The sequence below is a fragment of the Homo sapiens genome, chromosome 1, assembly GCF_000001405.40.
Source record: "Homo sapiens chromosome 1, GRCh38.p14 Primary Assembly".
Lineage (NCBI taxonomy): Eukaryota > Metazoa > Chordata > Mammalia > Primates > Hominidae > Homo > Homo sapiens.
This window is the reverse complement of record NC_000001.11, coordinates 167,540,929-167,565,555: the sequence shown is the minus strand read 5'-3', so window position 1 is coordinate 167,565,555 and position 24,627 is coordinate 167,540,929. Positions and strand designations below refer to the sequence as shown.

The 24,627-nt window shown below is 43.5% G+C and overlaps 1 protein-coding gene across 1 annotated transcript, besides 4 other annotated features; it reads left to right on the top strand.

The window, feature by feature from the left end:
* Window positions 268-1,467: an enhancer, noted in NCBI's record as "BRD4-independent group 4 enhancer chr1:167533326-167534525 (GRCh37/hg19 assembly coordinates)". NCBI's record gives its function as "activates an origin of replication core promoter dependent on BRD2, P300/CBP, MED14 and CDK7 cofactors, and independent of BRD4, by STARR-seq in HCT116 cells {active_cell/tissue: HCT116}" and the evidence as "EXISTENCE:reporter gene assay evidence [ECO:0000049][PMID:35650434]".
* Window positions 11,656-12,105: a silencer, noted in NCBI's record as "silent region_1530". NCBI's record gives its function as "represses an Ori minimal core promoter by ATAC-STARR-seq in GM12878 lymphoblastoid cells {active_cell/tissue: GM12878}" and the evidence as "EXISTENCE:reporter gene assay evidence [ECO:0000049][PMID:35858748]".
* Window positions 11,794-24,543, top strand: CREG1 (cellular repressor of E1A stimulated genes 1). The gene is made up of 4 exons (NM_003851.3): window positions 11,794-12,168; window positions 17,435-17,554; window positions 19,271-19,455; window positions 23,255-24,543. The coding sequence occupies exons 1-4, from the start codon at window positions 11,815-11,817 to the stop codon at window positions 23,256-23,258; spliced, it is 663 nt and encodes a 220-aa protein (NP_003842.1). The 5' UTR covers window positions 11,794-11,814; the 3' UTR covers window positions 23,259-24,543.
* Window positions 16,907-17,051: an enhancer, noted in NCBI's record as "145 bp enhancer 235 fragment used in the MPRA reporter construct; PK_construct_4323". NCBI's record gives its function as "activates an SV40 promoter by MPRA in K562 cells {active_cell/tissue: K562}" and the evidence as "EXISTENCE:reporter gene assay evidence [ECO:0000049][PMID:23512712]".
* Window positions 16,971-16,988: a transcriptional cis regulatory region, noted in NCBI's record as "GATA motif; enhancer activity is reduced when this motif is scrambled". NCBI's record gives its function as "necessary for full MPRA enhancer 235 activity {active_cell/tissue: K562}" and the evidence as "EXISTENCE:site-directed mutagenesis evidence [ECO:0005528][PMID:23512712]".
* Window positions 24,544-24,627: the final 84 nt, after the last annotated feature.

Here is a 24,627-nt window from a genome sequence, read left to right as displayed (position 1 = left end):
TTTAAAACAAGCTTGTGCAACCTGTGGCCTGTGGGCTGCATGCAGCCCAACACAAATTCGTAAACTTTCTTAAAACATTATGAGAATTTTTTGCGATTTTTTTTTTTAGCTCATCAGCTATCATTAGTATTAGTGTATTTTACAAGCGGCCCAAGACAATTTTTCTTCCAATGCAGCCTAGGGAAGCCAAAAAAGTGGACACCCCGATTTAAAACATGGCTCATAATTTAATCATCCACATATTAATTCATTTAACAATCAGTGCCTGTGCACCTGTGTGGCCCAGGCACTGTTCTATGCCCAGGGGATTCCGAGCTGAACAAAACAGACAAGTTTCTCCTCCCATGGAGTTTCCATCCTAGTGAAGACGGTGGACAAATAACTAAGTAATATAATGATTAATCGTGGTGGGTGCTAGGAAAAAAACAAAACTGGGTAATGGAGCTGGGAGTGTCTGGAAGTGGGTATTTTGGATGGGGTAAGTCAGGGAAGGTCTCTATGAAATTATCTTCAACAGTTGAGAAGGGGTTTGGAAAGAAGCTGGCTCATGAAGAGCTCAGAGAAGAAAGTTCTTAGCAGAAAGAGGAACAAGTGTAAAGCCCCTGAGGCAGAAGGGATTGGAGATGTTTGGGGAGCAGCCAGGAGAGGCATGTGGCTGGAGCTGGGGACTGAGAACAGGAGGTGTGGTTGGAGAGGTATGCAGAGGCCCGCTCTACCAGGTCAGACCCTGCAGGCCATGCCAAGCAGTGTAGCTAGTAAGTGTAAGGAGTAGCCACTGGAGGGTTTAAGCAAAGACATGATGCAATCTCGTTTATCATTGCTTGAGGAGCAGGAGAATTGTTTTCTATAGTGCCTTCTGGTCTTTTATTTTTCACACACCCTTCATGGAATTTGCTAGGCATAGCTTTTAAAGGGCTCTGAATTCATTCTTGTGACTGTATCTGGTATTCTAGTGGTCATCTAGGTCACTAACAGTGCCTTGGGTCACCACCTCCAAAATTAAGCCATCCCCACATGTAAAAACCTGTGACTATCAGTCTTAATGCATATGATGTTGTGTGACTTTTTCTACTGTACAAAAAACCCCTTCCATTAAATATAAATGCACATTAAATATTTAGCAAACACTTGTTTAAGGAATGATGCATGTGGAACAAGAAGTAAATGGCATAAGCTCCCAATATACAAGCCACATATTATCGTGACAATTCAACCTTACCTGTCATTATTAAGCTTTCATTTTCCTTCTTGCTTTTAGGAAAAACAGCCCCAGCATTCCCTATCTCCTGACGCCTCCCTGCATCACACATCCACATTTTAGGTAGAAGGAGACTTTCACACCCAGCTCAAGACTCTCGGAGGTTGTAGACAAGCAACAAGGAGAATGTAAGGGCCAGCCAGTCTGGATTCAGTCCAGCAGCTGCCCAGTTGAGACCTGGACCAAAGCCAACTTCTCACTCACCTCCAGCATAGTCACTATCTATCTAGCTGATGATTTCTCCTTCCTTTCAATGAAAGCTTTAAGTGGCTTCTGTTTGCCTGGGAGACAAAGTGAGTCACATTCACAGTAGCTCTTTATATTGATGACCCTTGTCTCCACTCATGATGGTGGGGCCTCTACTTCTCCTCCAAGTCGCTCCTATCACCAGAGGCGTCTCACTTATGAGCTCAACCTCCTTTGCCTGCTCGGGCCACCTCTGCCTGCACAGCTGCATCAGGGCCCTTCTTCTGTTGTCACAGCCTTCAGATGAGCCACTTTCATGGGGAACTGTTGCACCGGATACTGCAGCTCTGCACTGGCCTACAACCACCGGGCATCATCGAAACTGGACCTCCACTATTGCCAAACATTACTGCCAACATATGCACTTTCAGTTCATGTTGTTGAGGTTTTTTTTAGCCCCTCCTTCCCCTATCCATCATGTTCCACTTCTAGACTAAGGCATGAGACCAGGGGAGGTTATAAAGCTGGACTGGAGGATAAATATAAGTTGTAGGTGTTCTTCCATCTTCTTTGTTACCCCCTCCTCTCTGAATACTGGAGTAGTATAACAGCACCAATCCCATATGCTTGCCTTCCTCACCCCCTGGTATCATGTCCTGTGTTAATCTCCTCTCCTTGAATGACGGAATGTCATTCTGAGATTATGAAAAAATTGTAAGACTCCAGTGGAGCCCTGAGATGACTGCGGCTCCTGTCAACAGCTTGACTGCGACTGTCATGACAGACCTTAAGCCAGAACTACTTAGTCAACCCACACCTCAATTCCTGACCCAAAGAAATAATGGAATAATACATATTCATTATTTAAGTCACTAAGTTTAGGGATAATTTGTTAAGGAGCAACACAAACATAGACACATAAAAGTATAAAAATCAAGTGTAGAGCTCAATGATTGTTTCATAAGGTGAGCACACCTCTGTAAGCACTGCCCAGCTCCAGAAACGAACATTGCCAACAGCCTCGAAGCTCCCCTCATGCTCTCTTCCAGTCATTATCTCCCAAAAGGAACTGTTGTTTTCATATTTAGACCTTAGAATTATTTGTCTACTTTTGAATTTTATATAAGCAGAATCATACATGTGTTTTGTGGCTGGCTTCTCTTGCTCAAGATCATCTTTATGTGATTCATCCATGTTGCTTCATGTAGCAGCACTCATTGCTGAACTATTCCACTGTGGGAATAAACCACAGTTTATTTTCCATCCCACTGTCAATGGACATTTGGGGGCTATTACAAGTAATGCTGCTATGAACATTCTTGTACACATCTTTTGGTCAACATATGTCAGTATTTCAGGCTGGCTATGGTGGCTCAGGCCTGTAATCCCAGCACTTTGGGAGGCCAAGGTGGGTGGATCACTTGAGTCTAGGAGTTCAAGACCACCTGGGCAACATGGCGAAACCTTGTATCTACCAAAAAATACAGAAAATTAGCCAGGAAGGATGGTGTGCATCTGTAGTCCCAGCTACCTGGGAGGCTGAGGTGGAAGAATCACCTGAGCCAGGGAAGTCGAGGCTGCAGTGAGCTGAGATCGTGCCACTGCGCTCCAGCCTGGGCAACCAGAGTGAGACCCTGTCTCAAAAACAAACAAAACAAAACAAAAAATATATACAAGTATTTCAGCTGGGTATATACTGGGGAGTGGAATTTCTGGGCCATATGTTTAATAGACACTGCTGGCCGGGCACGGTGGCTCATACCTGTAATCCCAGCACTTTGGGAAGCTGAGGCGGGGGGATCATGAGGTCAGGAGATTGAGACCATCTTGGCCAACATGGTGAAACCCCATCTCTACTAAAAATATAAAAAATTAGCTGGATGTGGTGGTGTGTGCCTGTAATCCCAGCTACTCGGGAGGCTGAGGCAGGAGAATTGCTTGAACCAGGGAGTCGGAGGTTGCAGTGAGCTGAGATCACGCCACTGCACTCCAGCCTGGTGACAGAGTGAGACTCCATCTCAAAAAAAATAGATACTGCCAATCAGTTTCCAACCTGGCTGCAGCAGTTCACATTTCCACCAGCGGTATGTGAAAGTCCCCACTGTTTCACATTCTCACCAACACTTGGATTTTAGCTATTCCGGTGGGTATGTAGTCACATCACATTGCGATTTTAATCTGCATCTCATGAGTCATTATGCCATTGCCCCACTTCCGATGGACCATATACACTCCAGAACTCCTTAGGAAGAGGGGCTTTGTCAGGCCTGCACTGCAGGTTCGCTTCTCTCTCTGCCCAATCCTGCTGCCACCCTTTTTTTCCCCCACAGATATTGATCCTTAATAAGTACAGATGCTCCTCAACTTACGAGGGGGCTATGTCCCAACAAGACCATCGTAAGCTTGAAATACTATAAGTCAAAATGCATTTAACTTAAACTTGCCTACCTTAAACGTGCTCAGAACACTTACATTAGTCTACAGTCGGGCAAAACCATCTAACACAAAGCCAATACTATAATAAAGGATTGAATATCTCATGTAATTTATTGAATACTGTACTGAAAGTGAAAACAGAATTGTTGTGTGGGTGATCAAAGTATGGTTTCTACTGAATGCCCATCACTTTTGCATCATCTTAAAGTCAAGCAATCATTAAGTCGAAGTATTGTTAAGTCAGGGACCATCTGTGCTCTGCAGGCCAAACTCTGTCAGTGTCTGCTTCTGAGGAATCCAATCTGTAACAATTTGCCTATTCCTACCATAGTTCCTACAGCTGCCTCAATTACTGTCATGTACAGTGTGTTTTAACCTATGAGCTTTTGTCAATGAACACATATATATTTGTTTTTCATGACACTGTAAGGTAGCAAAAATCAATCTAAATCCTATAAATGGTATTGTTATATGTTTGTTAAAATTATGCTTTAAAGCTTTAAGTTATACTGTTACATACACATTTCTTGGAGAGATTACAGTATGATTGATATTTATAGGGCAATTTCCCCCTTACTGCTTTTCTTTTGCAAAAATATCTTAGTTACCCACATGGATTACAATTCCAAATAAATTCCAAAATGAGTTCATCAGTTTCCCTTAAAAAATTCTGTGGAGATTTTGGTTGGAAGTCACTGAATTAATAGGATAACTTGGGGAGAACAGATATCTTCATAAAATTATATTTCTTTCTTTCTTTCTTTTTCTTTCTTTCTTTCTTTCTTTCTTTCTTTCTTTCTTTCTTTCTTTCTTCCTTCCTTCCTTCCTTTCTCTTTCTTTCTCTTTTTCTGTCTTTCTTTCTTTCTTTCTTTCTTTGTTTCTTTTTCTTTCTTTCTTCCTTTCTTTTTCTTTTTTGTTGAGACAAGGTCTAACTCTGTCACCTAGGCTGGAGTACAGTGGTACAATCTTGGCTCACTGCAACCTCCGCCTTCTGAGCTCAAGGGATCCTCCCACCTCAGCCTCCCCAGTAGCTGATACTACAGGCATGCACCACCATGCCCAGCTAATTTTTTTTTGTATTTTTTGGTAGAGACGGGATTTCACCATTTTGTCTAGGCTGGTCTTGAACCCCTGAGCTCAAGTGATACACCTGCCTTGGCCTCCCAGTGCTGGGATTACAGGCATGAGCCATCATGCCTGAATTGATCTTTCTAACATATGAATTTTCTATGGCTTCCCAAAATCAAAATCTCTTCTTGGCATGATATATTTCCCCTACCCAGCTGAACATGCTCATCTGCCTGCATTGGTTCTTCACATTCTTTTCAACTTAAAATGGCTTTTTCTGACACATCATGTCTTCTTGCCTCTGTACCTACTATTTCCTCTGTGTAAAACTCTTCCTCTCCTTCTCTCTAGTCCCACCTTCTCACTGTCTGCCACGCTTCTATTTGTTCTTCAAGTTTCAACTCAAGAATTACCTCTGATATGAACCTTCCCTCGAGACAGGCCTATGCTCCTTCTTCCCTGGCGCCTTTGCCTGTGGATAGCCCTCCACGTTGCACTAATGACATCGAATTATACTTTGTCTCTTTGCTTATTTGTGAATTAATTAAGCAGAAATTTTTCTTAAAATTAAGGACAATGTCTATTAATAATTTTAATTCTCATCACCCATCACAGCACCCAGGGCTTGTTTGGCACTCAATGCATACTTGTTAAATGCATACATCTAATGTACAAATGCATAAGTAGTGGAATTATGGGCATCTGGCAGGCAAAGAGGACAGATATTTTGTTACAGGCACTCTTTCATTTGTGCTTTTAAAATTACTATGATGATGATGTGAAAGGCTGGCCTTATTTTAGTGCAAATTCTAATCTAATTATTTTCTTCTGACTCGCAGGTAACTTTCTTCTCCTGTTTAATATTGCTGATATATTGATACACCATGGAATAATATGTAGCCATAAAAAAGAATGAGTTCACGTCCTTTGCAGCAGGAAGCCATCATTCTCAGCAAACTAACACAGGACAGAAAACCAAACACTGCATGTTATCACTCGTAAGTAGGAGTTGAACAATGAGAACACATGGACACAGGGAGGGGAACATCACACACCAAAGTCTGTTGCGGGTTGGGGGTAAAGGGGAGGGAGAGCGTAAAACAAATACCTAATGCATGTGGAGCTTAAAACCTAGATGGCAGGTTGATAGGTGCAGCAAACCACCATGGCCCATGTATACCTATGTAACAAACCTGCACATTCGGCATATGTATCCCGGAACTTAAAGTAAAATTAAAAAAATAAATTTTACAGATATATTGAAATACTGGGATGACTACTCTTCTAAAGCTTAGTTAATGTGTTTTTGATTAAACAAATGCAATCCAAAAGATACATATTAACATGTCTTTCTATGTAGCAAGCACTATTAGGCATTTGGAAAACATGTCCTCTAGATTGAAAGGAGTCAAGAATTGTTCCCCAAATGTCTGGAAAATAATTGTTATCCAAATGTAAACGTGCATGAAAGAGAAACATGTAAAACTCAAGGCAGTCAGCAAAAGGGCAGGTTTTCATTGCTACCTTTTAAATTCGGAACATTTGACTAAAGTGAAGGGATGTGAGAAGAACCATGGGGAAAGGCTATCTGCTTAATGAAAAATAATAGGCATCGGCATTTTCTCCCTCAAAGCTGGGGTGGGCTATGAAAGTACTTCCTCAATAGCTGCCTGGGGACTTTCAAGACATTTTATAAAGTTATTTTTTTCAAGAGGCTTTTTTTTTTTCCTGCAGAGGCCACAGTGAAAAGTGTGAAAAATCTATAGAGAAATTAAATGAAGCAATCTACAGATTTTTAGAGTAGAAAGTGGGAACAGAAATAGTGGGAAAAGGCCTGGTATGGTGGCTCACACCTGTAATCCCAGCAGTTCAGGAGGCCGAGACGGGCGGATCACCTGAGTTCGAGTTCGAGACCAGCCTGGCCAATATAGTGAAACCCCATCTCTACTGAAAATACAAAAATCAGCTGGGCGTGGTGGCATGCCTGTAATCCCAGCTACTTGGGAGGCTGAGGCAGGAGAATCACTTGAACCCAGGAGGTGGAGGTTGCAGTGAGCCAAGATTGCACCACTGCACTCCAGCCTGGGTGACAAAGCAAGGCTCCGTCTCAAAAAAAAAAAAAAGAAATAGTGAGAAAAAAGCTAACAATTACTAACACATAGCTAACAACTACTGAGCATCTATTCTGTTCCAGGCACTATAATGGATATTTTAAATGCATTCTCTCATTTAATCCCCATAAAAATCCAGTGAAGGAGGAGCTATGATTTTAATGACAGGGAAATTGTGGTTCAGTATCATCCTATGTAAGCTCATGCTTAAGTGGCTAACTCCAGAGCTAACTCTCTTCACTGTTTCACTAGCTATCTACTATTTGAAGCATGCATACCACAAAAGAGAAGTTTTCTATTCTTTAAAGACTAAAGCCTGAGCTATGGCAGACAGCCTGAGAACCCTCTGCCCTTGGTGTGACTGTTCTGATACAATTCTTTTGTCAATAACATGTAATGGGTACCTGCTAGATGCCTGGATCTGTGCTCGGTGCTGGGAGACGGAAAGGACAAAGCCACTGCTTCTAACCTAGAAGGAACCGGTGGTGACCTAGACAAATAAGCAAGGGCAACACCATGTAAAAGAAGGAGTTTGCAGGGTGGGTTCTTCATAAGGATCAAACCTAGACATAAGGAAAAGATAACTATTCCACAGTGGGCCTGTGGGGATGGGGACCAGTGTAGGTTGTTCACATAAAAACATAAAGTCAGGATGAGAAGCAGCAGGATCTGGGATGATTATTTCAGCCACTCCTGGCTAAGGGCTTCCCCTAATATCCCAATGAGGAGGATTTGCTAAACAAAAGCTGGAGCGCCTGGTTGTTAGCTTATGCTGATTTACTCATCCTCACTTTTTAATCATTTTATACAGCTCTATGTGCAAAGAATTTTGCCAGATATTATTCACTGTCAGGTAGTCTTTCAATAAATATTTATGTAGTGCCCACTCTGAGCATTGGGAATACGAAGGCGGACAGGATAGACAACATTCCTGCTCTCCCGGAGCTCGCGTTCTACCAGTGGAGACAATAAACACGTAGCTAAAAAAATAAATACTGTTATTATAGTATTTATTTTTGTTGTGATGAATTAATGATTGCTATGAAAGAAATAGAGTTGGCTGAGGGAGAGTAACTGGGGAAGGCCTCTCGGAAAGAGTGCTCTAGGAGTCACTGCTGAGGAGTGACATCTAAGTGGAGGTCCCAATGGGAGTGAGGTAGCCATGCCAGCAGCTGAGGGAAGAGCATTTTGAGCATAGGGAACAGCAAACACAAAGATAGATACTGAGGTGGCGTGCTTAAAGCCAGAGGGTTTGTAGACCTCATTCTCCTGCTCTGATGCCTGAGACCAAGCTCTAGGCACCTGTTTTGTAATGGAGCTGTAATAGGGTCTATTGCTATTTTGTATGCCAGCAATAAATGATGTAGCAATAAATAAATTTTTTTCATCTTTTTGCAAAAAAATTCACATTGTGAAACTTACAAAAGGCTCATACTTTGCATGTTAATAGAAAAATAAGGCCAGGCACAGTGGCTCATGCCTATAATCCCAGCACTTTGGGAGAATGAGGTGGGAGGACCAATTGAGGCCAGAAGTTCAAGACCAGCCTGGGCAGCATATGAGACCCCATCTCTACAAAAAATTAAAAATTAGCCAGGTGTGGTGGCATACACCTTTAGTCCCAGCTACATGGGAGTCTGAGGTGGGAGGATCACTTGAGGGAGGATCACTTGAGCCCAGGATTTTGAGGCTCACAGCTCGTGAGCCACCACTGCAGTGTAGCCTGGATGACAGAGCAAGACCTTGTTTCAAAAAAAAAAAAAGAGAAAAAGAAAAACAAACAACCACAAAGAAAAAGAAGATATAGGGCTGGAAGAGGCATCAGATATTAATATCATCTAATCCAACTCCTCATTTTAGATGAGAAAATTGAGGCCCAAAGGTAAGATAAAATCCCATGGTCACATGGCACGATAGTGGCAGACCTGAGATTAGAACTCCAAATGTGAGAGTATTCTTTCCTTAACAGGTAAGGGATGAAATGTTTATAACCGGCAGGTACTCAAACTATTTGTATTAATCATTTGTTTTTAAAATGATGAACCCAATTTTCCTCCTTTTGAATTTCTCCCACTTAGTTTTCCATCTATTTTGAAGTTCTTCCAAATTCAGTTGTTATAAAGCAAACCAACTTTGATTAAGGATCCTTCTTACCCCAATGTCGAAATCAGGGTGTGTGACATCATTTGGCCACCAGAGGGCACTGAAGTCTCCTGTTCAGAGTAGATGATCTTGCTTCTTCTGATACACAATTCCTACTGTGTAGCCTGAGAAGTTGGCTGAATATTAGGAGGCTGGTTTTGAGAAGGGAAGTAGCGGTGGGACTTTGGCTCACACACCTGTTGCCCACGGCTGCTCACATGACTGGCCAACAGCAGCTGAGTGAAATTACCTCACCTCTGTTACACAACTCAGCCTCACAGGGCCAGGTGTCTGCCAGAGCCAGCTTTACAAGATGACAAACTCTTGCACTAACACCACCATACAGTCTTTATAACAACAATTACAGTGGAAATTTGAGGCCAGGCCAAAAAGATTAAGACTTGCTCCAAAAAGACGTGACCAAAGCTTAAAGTCATAAAGAATGGAGGCCAGGTGCTATGAGCTTATTGACCAGTTTCCAGAATAGCAGAATCAGGAGCACCCGTGAGAGAATGAGACAGGCCATCTTAGAAGAAGCAAAAGGAATGTCCCTTACATGGAGCAGGGAAGGGCAGCGGGGGCAATAAATTCATGAAACCGCCGACCCCAAGCTTAATGTCTTAACAGGTCCTGAACTGGTAAGTTCAAATTTGTACATGGGATATTGATAGTAGACTAACAATCCCTTTGTGCGTCTATATGAGGGACTCCTGGGCCAGTAGTTTAAAAGGTCTTGACGGGCAATAACAAATGTTGGTGAGGATGTGGGGAAAAGGAAACCCTTGTACACTGTTGGTGGGAATGTAAATTAGAATAACCGCTTTGGAAAAAAATTTGGAGTTCCTCAAAAAATTAAAAATAGAGGTACCATATGATCCAGCAATCCCACAGCTAGGTATATCCCTAAAAGAAAGAAAATCAGTATATTGAGAGATGTCTGCACTCCTGTGTTTACTGCAGCACTATTCACAACAGCTAAGATTTGGAAGCAACCTAAGTGTCCATCATCAGATGAATGGATAAAGAAAATGTGGTATATATACACAATGGAGTACTATTCAGCCATAAAAAATGAATGGGATCCTGTCTGTCTTTGCAACAACATAGTTGGAACTGGAGGTTATTACGTGAAGTGAAATAAGCCAGGCACAGAAAGACAAACTTCACACATCCTCACTTATTTGTGGGAGCCTAAATGGAAACAATTGAACTCATGGAGACAGAGAGTAGAGGGATGGTTACCAGAGGCCAGGAAGGGTAGTGGGGGGACTTGCAGGGGAGGAGTGGGGATGGTTAATGGGTACAAAAAATAGTTAGAATAAGACCTAGTATTTCATAGCACAACAGGGTGACTATAGCCAATAATAATTTAAGTGTACATTTAAAATAACTAAAAGTATAATTGGATTGTTTGTAACACAAAGGATAAATGCTTGAGGCAATGGATACCCCATTTACCCTGATATGACTATTATGCATTGTATGCCTGTAGCAAAATATCTCATGTACCCCATAAATGTATACACCTACTATGTACCCACAAAAATTAAAAATTTTAAAATAAGTAAATAAAAAGTTTTTTAAAGGTCTTGAACTTTCGGGCTTCTGCCTAACTTTACTACTAGTGTAAGTGGGCCCCTTGAGATTTCAGCACCCCAGCATTTGTTAGTGACTGAAATAATGAAAATTCTGATCAGGCCCTTGCTTGCACATGTTGACAACTCTCTTTTTGCCCAATATCCCTTGTTCCTACAACATAATCATAAACTGCTGATGTACTGTTTCTTTATCAAGCAGGAGGAGATAATAACTTCAGGGTTACGAAAAAGTTTGCAGGAGGAATAAGTCCTTTGAAGTACTTTGAGGCCAGCTTCTGTCGCCCAGAAGTCTGATTGTTCAAGGAATTATCTGAGACTGAAGAAACACAGACTTTTTCCCTCGATTCCCTGAAACTCCCCCTCCCTGACTCGCTGGCCGCATAAACACTCTCTGCTTCTTCTTTTTGTTAGGGCGGATTTGAGAGATCTTGCCCTCCCGCCTTCTCGCTTTGGCCAAATCGAATAAACTTTTATCTCCAAGCACCTATATGTCAGTGTTTGGCATCAGCTACACATGGGGTACACGAGCCTGAGTCTGGGCTTCTACAACGCTGGGACCCTCGCTGTTCTTTGGAGCTGATGGTAAATTCAACAGAAAAGAGGCGCATGGGTAGAAAATGCAGCATTTCCTCTCAGATGCCAGATATTCATCTCCAAAGGTATTAAAAGGAGGGGGTGTGTGCCTGTGTAAAGAGGCTGGTCTTTTCCTAGCAGTACGATTTGGGCAAGTTGCTTGATTTCTTCAAGCCTTTCTTTTTCCGCCTGTCAAACAAAACAAAACAAATATCCCGTTTAGGACAAATTCACAATCCTTAAAGAGGGCAGGCAGAGCGATTGGAATGCAGATGAACCAATCCCTTCTCCTGCAGGTTGCGGAGCTGCAGAGGGACCCCGCCCCCTGCATTGTGCTTAGCTCTGATTGGCGCCTCGCGGAGGGGGCGGGGCCTGGGCGCGCCGAGCTCCGGCTGGGTCCCTGCAGGTCTTGGGGCCCGGGACTCTTCCTGGAGACACCGCCATGGCCGGGCTATCCCGCGGGTCCGCGCGCGCACTGCTCGCCGCCCTGCTGGCGTCGACGCTGTTGGCGCTGCTCGTGTCGCCCGCGCGGGGTCGCGGCGGCCGGGACCACGGGGACTGGGACGAGGCCTCCCGGCTGCCGCCGCTACCACCCCGCGAGGACGCGGCGCGCGTGGCCCGCTTCGTGACGCACGTCTCCGACTGGGGCGCTCTGGCCACCATCTCCACGCTGGAGGCGGTGCGCGGCCGGCCCTTCGCCGACGTCCTCTCGCTCAGCGACGGGCCCCCGGGCGCGGGCAGCGGCGTGCCCTATTTCTACCTGAGCCCGCTGCAGCTCTCCGTGAGCAACCTGCAGGTGAGCTGGGGCCCGCGGCTTCCCCAGGCGGGCTGTGGGCGGGGCGGCCACAGAGCGAGCCTTCACTCTCCCCAGAATTCTTCCCGGGAAGTGGAGCGTGGCTCGAACGGCTGTTGCTTCTCTGCCGCGCAGGCAGGTAGGTGGGCGTTGCAGCGTCCCAGATGTTGGGCAGCTGGGTACCAGGAATTTCCCACAAGCCTCCGCCACTGGGCCACGCACCTGGGGTAAATTCTCTGCCAGCAGCCCGAGGACTTCTCATCCGTGAGTGGTTCTCAGTCGTCTTGGGGCCCAGTGTCTCTATTAACTGTGCTCCTATTCTCTTTTTTTTTTTTTTTCCCTTTGAGACAGAATCTCACTTTGTGGCCCAGGCTGGAGTGCAGTGGCGCTATCTCAGCTTACTGCAACCTCTGCCTCCCAGGTTCAAGCGATTCTCGTGCCTCAGCCTACCGAGTAGCTGGGATTACAGGTGCGTGCCACCACACCCGGCTAATTTTTGTATTTTTAGTAGAGGCGGGGTTTCACCATGTTGGCCAGGCTGGTCTCAAACTCCTGACCTCACGTGATCCACCCATCTCAGCCTCCCAAAGTGCTGGGATTACAGGCGTGAACCACCGCGCCCTGCCTGGGCTCCTATTCTTAAAGGTTTTACAGGGCATAGAGATTGTTAGGTACTTAAGCACTTTAATATGTGACTTCAGGGTTTCTCACTCTCTTACCCTTCCTGAATTAAGCTTTTCCCTCCTGCAGCAAGACGCTAACGTACAATATCATGGACGATTACAATGATTACTGCAGTCTTTAGGCCTCCACAGGCATAGTGGCTCCTCAGTAAGATGCAGAGCTGATTGAAGGTGTATCTCTTCCTCGCCCTTTGCCCACCTTCTGGTGCAGGGCCACACTTACAACTCTGATGGATCTCTGCTGTCTCAGGGATGGGGTCACAGACACCCAGCTTGGGAGGCCGGAGACACACAGAGTCCAGGAATGGAGCCTGATTTGATGGAGGGTCTTTTTGACAAAGCTCTCACATTTGAGTTCAACTCTGAAAGTACAACATTGTTGATAAAGACAGGATGCAAGAAACTGATGCTTGATTAATCACTTTTCCATTTGCCTTCCATTCGTTGTCTCTTCTATTAATTCTTTGAAGTAGGTATTATATACCCCATTCTGCAGATGAAGAACTTGAGGCCTACCTAGGTTAAGTAACTTGTTTAAAGCCAGCGGGCAAACCCCTAGTTTCATCTCAGGTTCATCTTTCTTCAAACCACCTATCACAGGCTGGTGGCCCATCAGCTGAATATGTCCCACAGACCGGTTTGGCCTACACAAAGTTCTGTTTTGTTTTTAATAAATTTGAATTTGTTACCAACATTTTAAAATTTAGATTTTACTTTAAAATGTAAATCTCTAACTTTTCTTGAAAAATGGGAAGATCCAGTGACACTGTGGGCCTGCACTCTTTGAGCAAAAACAGAAGCAGTGCCCTCTTTTAGCTAAGGCAGATACACCCCAGTTCACCATTTTCTTATTCCCAGCCCATTCCACACCTTTAGGCGTTTGCTCAAAACAAACTCACTCCACTCCATCAGTGGTGCTCAACTTTGACTGCAAATCATAGTCACCTAAGAAGGCTTTAAAAATGGGATGCCAAGGTATTTTATTGAAAGCACATTTTATTTTAAGACAACACCCCTTCCCGCCTCCCCACAAACCACTCCCTGATGATTCTAATGGGGGAGGAGGGAGATTGACCAATACATAATCATATTTAAATTTGTGAGGTGACTAGGGAGTTGCTGGTATTATTGTCCCCATTTAGGAAGTGAGGAAACACAGACTCAGAGGTGCAGGGACTTACCCTGTGACCAGTCAGCTAATGGCTGTCAGGTAGGACATTAGCCCAGGTCTTTCATGTTTCTAGAAATAGACAGGGCAGTGGCAAGGAACCTACCCAGGGCTTTAGGTTTCCATGATGGCAGTGAAAAGAAGTGGCCACATTAGAATTTGTCTGACTTGATTCCATCAATTAGCAGGTCAAAGTTTCTGCTTTTTTCTTTTCCTCCTCCTGACCTCCAGGGTGCTCTGCATTTCTTCTCATTGACAGGGGGTGAAATCGTTCAGAAGGAACAAAAAGACCTAGGTTTGGGACCATTTCTCATGTGTAAAATACCTGTCCTCTGTAACTTAGAGATATGTTGTGAGCTTCAAACGTACTTACCACTGGGCTGTTTCTTTTGTATGTCTCTTTCTTTGTGGCATTTTTGTATAGTAAATGTCTGTAGGACAGTGTTGCTGATGTTAGCTTATAGTGGGACCGTGTTTGGCTGCAGAGCCAGTGAGTCTGAAGGGAAATCTTGGGGTTTGATTATTTGCACCAAGACCTCTTACTATTAGCCTCCCTTCCATTTTGGCATTCTTTTCTTGTGATGTGCCCCTTTCTGTTCTGGTCACTCTTGGTTTTTTTTCTCTGACCCACTAAAATAAGTATCCCTCAAAGTCAGTTTCCTACTCTTTTGTTCCCTGCAGCGATCCTCAGAAGATTGTATACACTCTCGTTGTATACATTCTCTTCTAGTCCTTACTAGGACTCACTTCCAGATGTGTGTCCATTTCTGACCTCTTCAAAGTTCTCTATATTTCTGCTTGCTGTTCATTTTTGCTTCGTTACTTTGCCACCACTTCAAATTCAACATGTTTAAATCCAGTCCTTCTTCCTCCTGAAACAAGCTGCTTTTGATCTTCTGCATTTCTGTTAGTGGAATTATTGTTTTCTCAGTAAACCCAGTTGGTTCTCACTGCCTCCCCAAATCCCTCAGTTCCCAAGTCCTGACAGTTTTTTGTTGCCTTCTTTACCTCTGTCCTTGCCCCTTCCTCTTCATTCCTGCCACCTCATCCTTAAGCTTATCATCTCATGCCTAAAAGTACTAGAACAGCTCTTACATAGTCTTCCTGTCTGCCCCATCCACCTTGCCTACCCAAATAGATTAACAAAAATACCTGTCACAGCATTGCCCTCTGGCCAGAAACCTTTAACAATACCCAGCTGCCTATAGCTGCGTAAGAGCTACCTGGGATGTTTGTTTAAAATGCATATAGAGGCGGGTGCGGAGGCTCCAGCCTGTAATCCCAGCACTTTGGGAGGTCGAGGTGAGCGGATCACCTGAGGTCAGGAGTTTGAGACCAGCCTGGCCAATATGGTGAAACCCACCTCTACTAAAAATACAAAAATTAACTGGGTATGGTGGTGTACGACCGTAGTCCCAGCTATTTGGGAGGCTGAGTTGAGAGCATCAGTTGAGCCTGGGAGGCAGAGGTTGCAGTGAGCTGAGATCACGCCATTGCACTCCAGCCTGGGTGACAGAGCTTGATTCTGTTTCTAAATAATAAAATGCAGATAGAGGACAGCTTGGTGGCTCATGCCTGTAATCCCAACACTTTGGAAGGCCGAGGTGGGAGGATCACTTGAGTCTAGGATTTTGAGACCAGCCAGGGCAACACAGTGAAACTCCATGTCTACAAAAAATAAAAAAATATTAGCCGGGTGTGGTGATGCACATCTATAGTTCCAGCTACTCAGGAGGATGAGATGGGAGGATCACATGAGCCCTGGAGGTTGAGGCCACAATGAGCCATGATTGTGCCACTGCACTGGGTGGCTGCCTGGGTGACAGAGTGAGACACTGTCTTAAAAAAAATATTGCAGGCCAGGTGCGGTGTCTCACGCCTGTAATCCCAGCACTTTGGGAGGCCGAGGTGGGTGGATCACAAGGTCAGGAGTTCAAGACCAGCTTGGCCAACATGATGAAACCCAGTCTCTACTAAAAATACAAAAATCAGCTGGGCGTGGTGGCACACACCAGTAATCCCAGCTACTCGGGAGGCTGAGGCAAGAGAATCGCTTGAACTTGGGAGTTGGAGGTTGCAGTGAGCTGAGATCGCACCACTGCACTCCAGCCTGGGTGACAGAGCAAGACTCCGTCTCAAAAAAAAAAAACAAAAAAAAATTGCAGTTATTTGGGTTGGGAGTGAAGCCTGTTTCAACATTTTAACCCAAATCAGCATTTTATCAAGCTCTCCAGGCAGGTGGTTCTTAGAAAACAGTGCCTAAGGTTGGCCCACAAATTACAATCTAGACTCCTTAACTTAGGTTGGAGCCCTCTCCACTCCCAACCCCAGGCTCCTCCCGTAGGAAAGCCCTTCTTTCCAGCAAATCAGGTTTCTTGGTACTGTTCATCAAGTCTTAGGCTCACCCAGTTCTGTGTTTTTTGCAGTCAGTGTCTCCTCTCCCTTTAATATGTCCTCCCACCTTCTATCCTGGTTTTGAATATATTATAAAGCTCCTTACAGTTCCTCTATCACTCTGGTCTATGCTGGACATACACATTTGTTTATGTCTGCCTTTTCAACCAGATTATAAACTCACGGAGGGAGAGAGTTTACCTGAGTGTCCCCCTCCCCTTCTTTGGTCTCCTGTGGTGCCTTGCCTAATAGTTTCTAGACAGTGACTATTTGGCTAAATGATTTCAAAGAAATCTCTTTATGACTCTTTGTTTTGATGGGTCAGTGTGAAATGGCAAAATTCTCCACACAAGGCACTTAGAGCTTAAAGAGCTAAATAGTCTAAAATGCGATGTGTGAATTTTGCTATAATCTGTCAACAGTGCCTTTTATGAAGTTGATTTCTGAATAAGAAAGCATTAAGAATTTTACTTGTGTTACTTTTTGAATGTGGGATAAAACTCATTGTTACTAAAGCAGGAATGAACAACTTCTCCAGTTTTGAAATCACATGACAGTTTCTGCTAATGTAAGATAACCAAGTAGCATGATTCAGCTACTTTCTTGCTTAAATCGCGTAGTTAGCCAATTGAGCAACTGTGGTGTTTTTAGCAATGGTTTTGTATAGAGTTTAACCCTTTAAATCTTTCAGTGAAGCCTATAGAACAGCCTTGAATTTGGGTGTCACTATAATTATAATTCTTCTGATGAATATGGAATAAATTCAGGGTTTCAGAAAAAGAATATTGAAATAATTTTTACCAAGTCAGTTCATTTTAAATATGAACCCCCGCACCCCCTTTGGGGAGTGGTCAGGATACTTTCCAAGTATTATTTTCCCCTGAGTGGAAGGTGATGTTTTATGATTCATTGTTTCGTGGAAGACCAGTCAAGCTCTAGGGACATCATGTATGCAACTTTTGAAATTTATTACCTCTCCAGAAACCATATTTCACATGAGAGGATCTTCATTTTCTCTCTATAGGAGAATCCATATGCTACACTGACCATGACTTTGGCACAGACCAACTTCTGCAAGAAACATGGATTTGATCCACAAAGTCCCCTTTGTGTTCACATAATGCTGTCAGGAACTGTGACCAAGGTAAGTAGTTATCCTACAGGAAGGGAGATGGTTTCAGAACACCATCGTATTCACAATGAAAGAATAGATCATTTTTCTTTTGAGACAGAGTCTCACTCTGTCTCCCAGGCTGGAGTGCAGTGGTGTGATCTCGGCTTACTGCAACCTCTGCCTCCTGGGTTCAAGCGAGTCTTGTGCCTCAGCCTCCCTAGTAGCTGGGATTACAGGCACGCACCACCACACCCAGCTAATTTTTGTATTTTTAGTAGAGATGGGGTTTCACCATGTTGGCCAGGCTGGTCTTGAACTCCTGACCTCAAGTGATCCACCCACCTCGACCTCCCAAAGTGCTGAGATTACAGGCGTGAGCCACTATGCCTGGCAGAATAGATCTTTTCAGAATGAAATGCAGTTGATTTGTGATTGCCATGCCCAGTCAGAACATGTTCTATTCTAATAGGTGAAGTAATTCCATGAAAACCAAACGTTTTAATAAGTTGCTTTCATATAGGTGTTAAATAAGATATGACAAAAATGAATGATTTTCTGAAGCCAAGCAGATGTAACAACTATGAAGCTCCTGTATATAAAGTTATTCTTACTAAAGAGCATCTGGTTGACCAAAGCCCTCTACTCTCCATTACATTTTACATTGGTATAATGTTTTTCCATGTCTGGGCTCCTTGTCTCCATATTTTAACAGTGGCTTAAAGCAGAGAAAACATATTAAGTAGGCCAACCAGAGGACTATCCATTACTGAAAACTGGAAGTGAATTTAGTTTGGATCACCTGCTGAAGGGAAGAGGTCAAATACAATCTCAGGAAGAGCAGTGGGCATGGTGTCAGGAGTGCTGATCTGATTACCCAGCCAGCAGATTTGCTTTTTGACCGTGTCAATCATTAATGCCTCAGACAAGTGTTATTTATGGTCTGTAAATTCTTTGTGGATGCATCTCTGTAGTTGAGTGTCCTTCACTGGCAGGAAAAAGATGGAGGAGCAGCACATGCTTTTGAGTTCTGTTATGTGGTTTCTAAACATTTTTATCCTTCAGTACATTCATCTGTATGTTTAACATGTCCATGTTATGGGATAAATATGCTAAACATTACATGTCTTAGGCACCAGTAATGTTACAGTACTTAGTGCTAGTTATTCTAATAGCTCAAAATGCCTTTTTACCAATGAAAGTTGGTATTATACTTACAGTGGTTTCCCACTTCGTGGTATCTGTTATTACCAACAATTGAAATCTTTATTCTCTGCATTCTTTACATTTCCTTTATTTTCTCTTGATTCCTTAAGGTTAAGATCAAGATTTACAAGTAAGTAAACTCTTAGGATTTATAGAATGCTAGAGTCACACATTCTTTTTTTTTTTTGAGATGGAGTCTTGCTCTGTCATGCAGGCTGGAGTGCAGTGGCACGATCTCGGCTCACCGCAAGCTCCGCCTCCCGGGTTCATGCCATTTTCCTGCCTCAGCCTCCTGAGTAGCTGGGACTACAGGTGCCCACCACCACATCTGGCTAATTTTTTTTTTTTTAGTAGAGATGGGGTTTCACCGTGTTAGCCAAGATGGTCTGAGTCTCCTGACCTCGTGATCCGCCCGCCTTGGCCTTCCAAAGTGCTGGGATTACAGGCGTGAACCACTGCACCCGGCCTAATCACACATTCTTAACAAATGAGAAGATAAAGTGTTACTGCCATAAGAATGTTTATTTCATATATGTCCTTTAGGTGAATGAAACAGAAATGGATATTGCAAAGCATTCGTTATTCATTCGACACCCTGAGATGAAAACCTGGCCTTCCAGCCATAATTGGTTCTTTGCTAAGTTGAATATAACCAATATCTGGGTCCTGGACTACTTTGGTGGACCAAAAATCGTGACACCAGAAGAATATTATAATGTCACAGTTCAGTAAGTACTTACACATCTTTCACCTAAGATTGCCGCCCTTACAGCCATCCTCAGCCTTCTAAGGCAAGGGGGGTTTAACCGTTTCATGTGCCCTGGACACCCTGGGCAGTCTGGTAAAGCCGCTGACCCCTTCTCAGAATAATGTTTTAAACACATAAAATACAGAGGATTAAGAAGAAAATCAACTATAATGAAATACATTTATGAAAATATTTGTAAATGTGTGGTATAATCGTTTTATTAATATATTAAATATAAGATCTAGTAATAAGTCTATTACTTTTTCTTTTTTTTTCAAGACAGAGTCTTACTCTGTCACCCAGGCTGAGTGCAGTGGCACCATCTCAGCTCATTGCAGCCTCCACCTACTGGGTTCAAACGATTCTTATGCCTCAAGCCTCCCAAGCAGCTGGGAATACAGGCATAGACCACCACACCCAGCTGATTTTTTGTATTTTCATAAAGAGGGTGGTGTCGAACTCCTGAGCTCAGGCAGTCTGCCTGCCTCAGCCTCCCAAAGTGCTAGGATTACAGGCATGAGCGACCATGCCTGGCCTTTTCTGTGCTTTTAAAGTAGTGAGGATTGAAGACAATATTTTAAGACATCTGCAACACCTGTGACATGATATGAACGTATCTGTGATTTCTCTATTTCTGTTGGAGACAGTCACAGATAGGCTGTCACCCTGTGGTTTATTCCCTACATTCATTATTGAAGGAAATGATACATTCAGTTAGAGCCTAATGAAAATGAAAAAAAAATTTTTTTGAGCCAAGTTCGCAGACCCCTGAACTCTGTCTACAGGCCTGGACACCAGGTTGAGACTCCATTTTAAGGCTGTGCTTATTGGGCCCTGAACAGAGCCCAGTTATGACCCACGATGGCATTTTCTCATGAGGCTTAGACTCAGGTGCTCCTGGACTGTGAATGCCCTTCATCTGAGTCTGAGCAAGTAACCCCATCCCATCAGCCCCAGTACTACAAATGCCTATGGGGATGTGTGGTTTATCCCACTAAGAAGTGCATGGAAGGGAGGAGGCTGAGATAAAAGAGGCCATGGGAGAAAATAAAGCCCAGGACCTGAAGACAGAAAGGGAAAGGAAAGAAGAGTGTAACTGGAGTCTTTGGAGTTAGCTAAGGGTTCAAATGAGGGAATACAAGGGACTGGTGCTTCTCCCAGGTGACACAGGGAATTCTGGCATATCTGGGGAGGTGATAAGAACAGTAACAATAACAGCTAGTGTCCATTGTTTATTACTGGCTGGGTGCTATACTGGCTACTTTTCATGTATTAACTCATTCAGTTCTCACCACATCCCTTTCTTGCGCAACCTTCCACCGCAACAGGTAGGTGCTGTTTTTCCACATGTGTGAAATGGAAAGCTGATGCACAGAGAACAAACTGGCCTAAACTGTTTGTTCTTGCAGCCAGGAAGTGGTGGTGCTGGGACTCAAACCCAGGCATTCTTGCTCCAGAGCCATCACCTGACTTCTATCCATGATGCTGTACTTCTCCTCTGGCTGCCTCACTGGTAGCTGGCCAGGCTCCTAGCTCAGTGTAATTTATAATGCACTTTCTGCTTGTAATGATTGACTGCTGTTTCAGGAGATTACGGTGATGATAACTAAGGTAGACTTGTAGGTTGTAGGTCATTTGAGGGCTTAAATTCTTAGCATTTATTTAATCTCTGTCTTTTTCAATTGTAGAACAATTCCGTGTTGAACTATTGACTCCCTACCATGATTGGAAATCTCAGTTTTGTTTTGTTTCTAATTTTTTTTAATTCCAAGCAGGGCCTAGGACAGTGTGTGTCATAGAGCAGGTGTTTAGGAATGATTGTCTGGCTCATTACTTGAGACAAACACTCTCACACTCTGTTGGAATAAAGAATCCCACAGTCCTGGCGCTTGTTTTGCTGCTGTGCATGCAGGAGAGGCACGGGCCACTGGTCGTCTTCTGGGCTGGCAAAGCCATCTGACTTCATAGGAATATAGAGGTAGCAATTACAACTTTATTCCCTGGCAACAAATTATCAGGATGACTGTTAAGAAGGGCCTGCTCTTCGAAGTTAAAGTTTACTTTCACAGGACATAATCTCTAAAGCGCAGTTATCTTTATATAAATAACATGCCCAAAGGCAGTGCCTGGTTTAATAACAAAATAAAACTGTTTTCCCATAAGTCTCCACACTGAATAAGTGAGTAAAACAGATACTTTTGAGGTTCCCACTTTATTATGCTGACAAAGGAGCACTTCTCTGCAGCACAGAGATAGAACATTTTTCCCTTGTCCTGAGAGGCGGCCCAAAGGCTAGAGCAGATGTGACTCTTCTGAGGCAGTGCACCAGAACCCGAGGGATGGGCAGGGCCTGAAAGCTGCCCGCTCTGACCGGGTGCCTCTGGCTAGGAATTGTCCATCTCCGAGTCTAGGAGTGCCCCCACTAATCCCACCCGCCAGGTTTGCCACCAGAGCTGTTTAATAGTCCGGGGAGTGTACAGTGATATCTGTGAGGACCAGGGCCCCCATCTTCTTGGAGAACCACCCACAGGGGCCTCACAGGCGTTCTGGAGCTTCCCCACATTGGCAGCCACCTTGCTTGGCTTGCCCAGATCGGTTTTGGAAGGTATTATTCCTCCAAATACCACGAAGCCCTCTGCATCTGAAATCTGTTTCACACAGATGGAGACTGCCACTTGTGAGAGCTGATACGGAGCTTAACTGAATGTGGTTTGCCTCATTGGACTGTTGGGTGAAGCCCCCATGAGCATGTTTGCATGATCAGTGGAAGGCTTAAATGTCTACACGAAGCATTTGCTGGCACCCTGGAATAAGCAGTTCTTTTTTTTTTTTTTGAGATGGAGTCTCACTCTGTTGCTCAGGCTGGAGTGTGGTGGTGCGATCTCAGCTCACTGTAAGCTCTGCCTCCTGGGTTCATGCCATTCTCCTGCCTCAGCCTCCTGAGCAGCTGGGACCACAGGCACCTGCCACCACGCCTGGCTAATTTTTTGTATTTTTAGTAGAGGCAGGGTTTCATCATGTCAGCCAGGATGGTCTCAATCTCCTGACCTCGTGATCTGCCCGCCTCGGCCTCCCAAAATGCTGGGATTATAGGTGTGAGCCACCGCGCCCGCCCAACAAGCAGTTCTTATAAGCATAAGCATTGCTTTTGACCACTGTTAAGTCTGGGCAGCAGCATGTTTGTGCTAAGCCTCATTTTATCTCCTCTGGCGCACATCCGGATATTTCCTAGCAAACACACAGGTAACAAAAGGTCATGGATTACAGACTTGCCCAGTCTTGATACCTAGAGATGGATTCCCTGGTTGGTGGCAGCAGAAAGGGGGAAAGTTCACCTCCCAGCTGTGGTCACTATCACTGGGCAATGGCTAATCACTGCTCTTCTGCCCTGATGTTCAGGACCCCTTCTGTTCTCAACTATTTTTGTCTTTTAAGCCTTCAGATACTCTTAAATGAGATAACAACAGCAGCCACGGCAGTGGCCTGCTTCTTGCTACATCCTAGTAGCGTTTATCAGTGTGTCAGAATCATACTTGGAGAGGAGGGTTATTGCTAAAATGAGGATTCCTAGGCCCCACCCTCAACCTATTGAAACCGAAACTCAGGAGTCTGCATTTTAACAAACCCAAGTGGTTATTTAGTATATTCTAGTGGTTGAAATGAACTGAAAATCTTAATTTAGATCAGAAATTTTATCTAGTCCTTCCCTAGAATGAATTAATTTTTAAGATTTGTTAACCCAGTTTAACAAAATAATTCTTCTCTGTTCCCCTTTCTAGGTGAAGCAGACTGTGGTGAATTTAGCAACACTTATGAAGTTTCTTAAAGTGGCTCATACACACTTAAAAGGCTTAATGTTTCTCTGGAAAGCGTCCCAGAATATTAGCCAGTTTTCTGTCACATGCTGGTTTGTTTGCTTGCTTGTTTACTTGCTTGTTTACCAATAGAGTTGACCTGTTATTGGATTTCCTGGAAGATGTGGTAGCTACTTTTTTCCTATTTTGAAGCCATTTTCGTAGAGAAATATCCTTCACTATAATCAAATAAGTTTTGTCCCATCAATTCCAAAGATGTTTCCAGTGGTGCTCTTGAAGAGGAATGAGTACCAGTTTTAAATTGCCCATTGGCATTTGAAGGTAGTTGAGTATGTGTTCTTTATTCCTAGAAGCCACTGTGCTTGGTAGAGTGCATCACTCACCACAGCTGCCTCCTGAGCTGCCTGAGCCTGGTGCAAAAGGATTGGCCCCCATTATGGTGCTTCTGAATAAATCTTGCCAAGATAGACAAACAATGATGAAACTCAGATGGAGCTTCCTACTCACGTTGATTTATGTCTCACAATCCTGGGTATTGTTAATTCAACATAGGGTGAAACTATTTCTGATAAAGAACTTTTGAAAAACTTTTTATACTCTAAAGTGATACTCAGAACAAAAGAAAGTCATAAAACTCCTGAATTTAATTTCCCCACCTAAGTCGAAACAGTATTATCAAAACACATGTGCACACAGATTATTTTTTGGCTCCAAAACTGGATTGCAAAAGAAAGAGGAGAAGAATATTTTGTGTGTTCCTGGTATTCTTTTATAAGTAAAGTTTACCCAGGCATGGACCAGCTTCAGCCAGGGACAAAATCCCCTCCCAAACCACTCTCCACAGCTTTTTAAAAATACTTCTACTCTTAACAATTACCTAAGGCTTCCTCAACTGCCCCAAATCTCTTAATAGCTTCTAGTGCTGCTACAATCTAAGTCAGGTCACCAGAGGGAAGAGAACATGGCATTAAAAGAATCACATCTTCAGAAGAGAAGACACTAATATTATTACCCATATACATGATTTCAGAAGATGACATAAGATTCCTCTTAAAGAGGAAATGTCAGGAATCAAGCCACTGAATCCTTAAAGAGAAAAGTTGAATATGAGTCATTGTGTCTGAAAACTGCAAAGTGAACTTAACTGAGATCCAGCAAACAGGTTCTGTTTAAGAAAAATAATTTATACTAAATTTAGTAAAATGGACTTCTTATTCAAAGCATCAATAATTAAAAGAATTATTTTAATGAAATGTGTTGGATTCGTTTTCTTAAACATAGACATTAATATTTATTACACTTTGTTTTATTGTCTACTGTCGAAATAGCATGTTCCT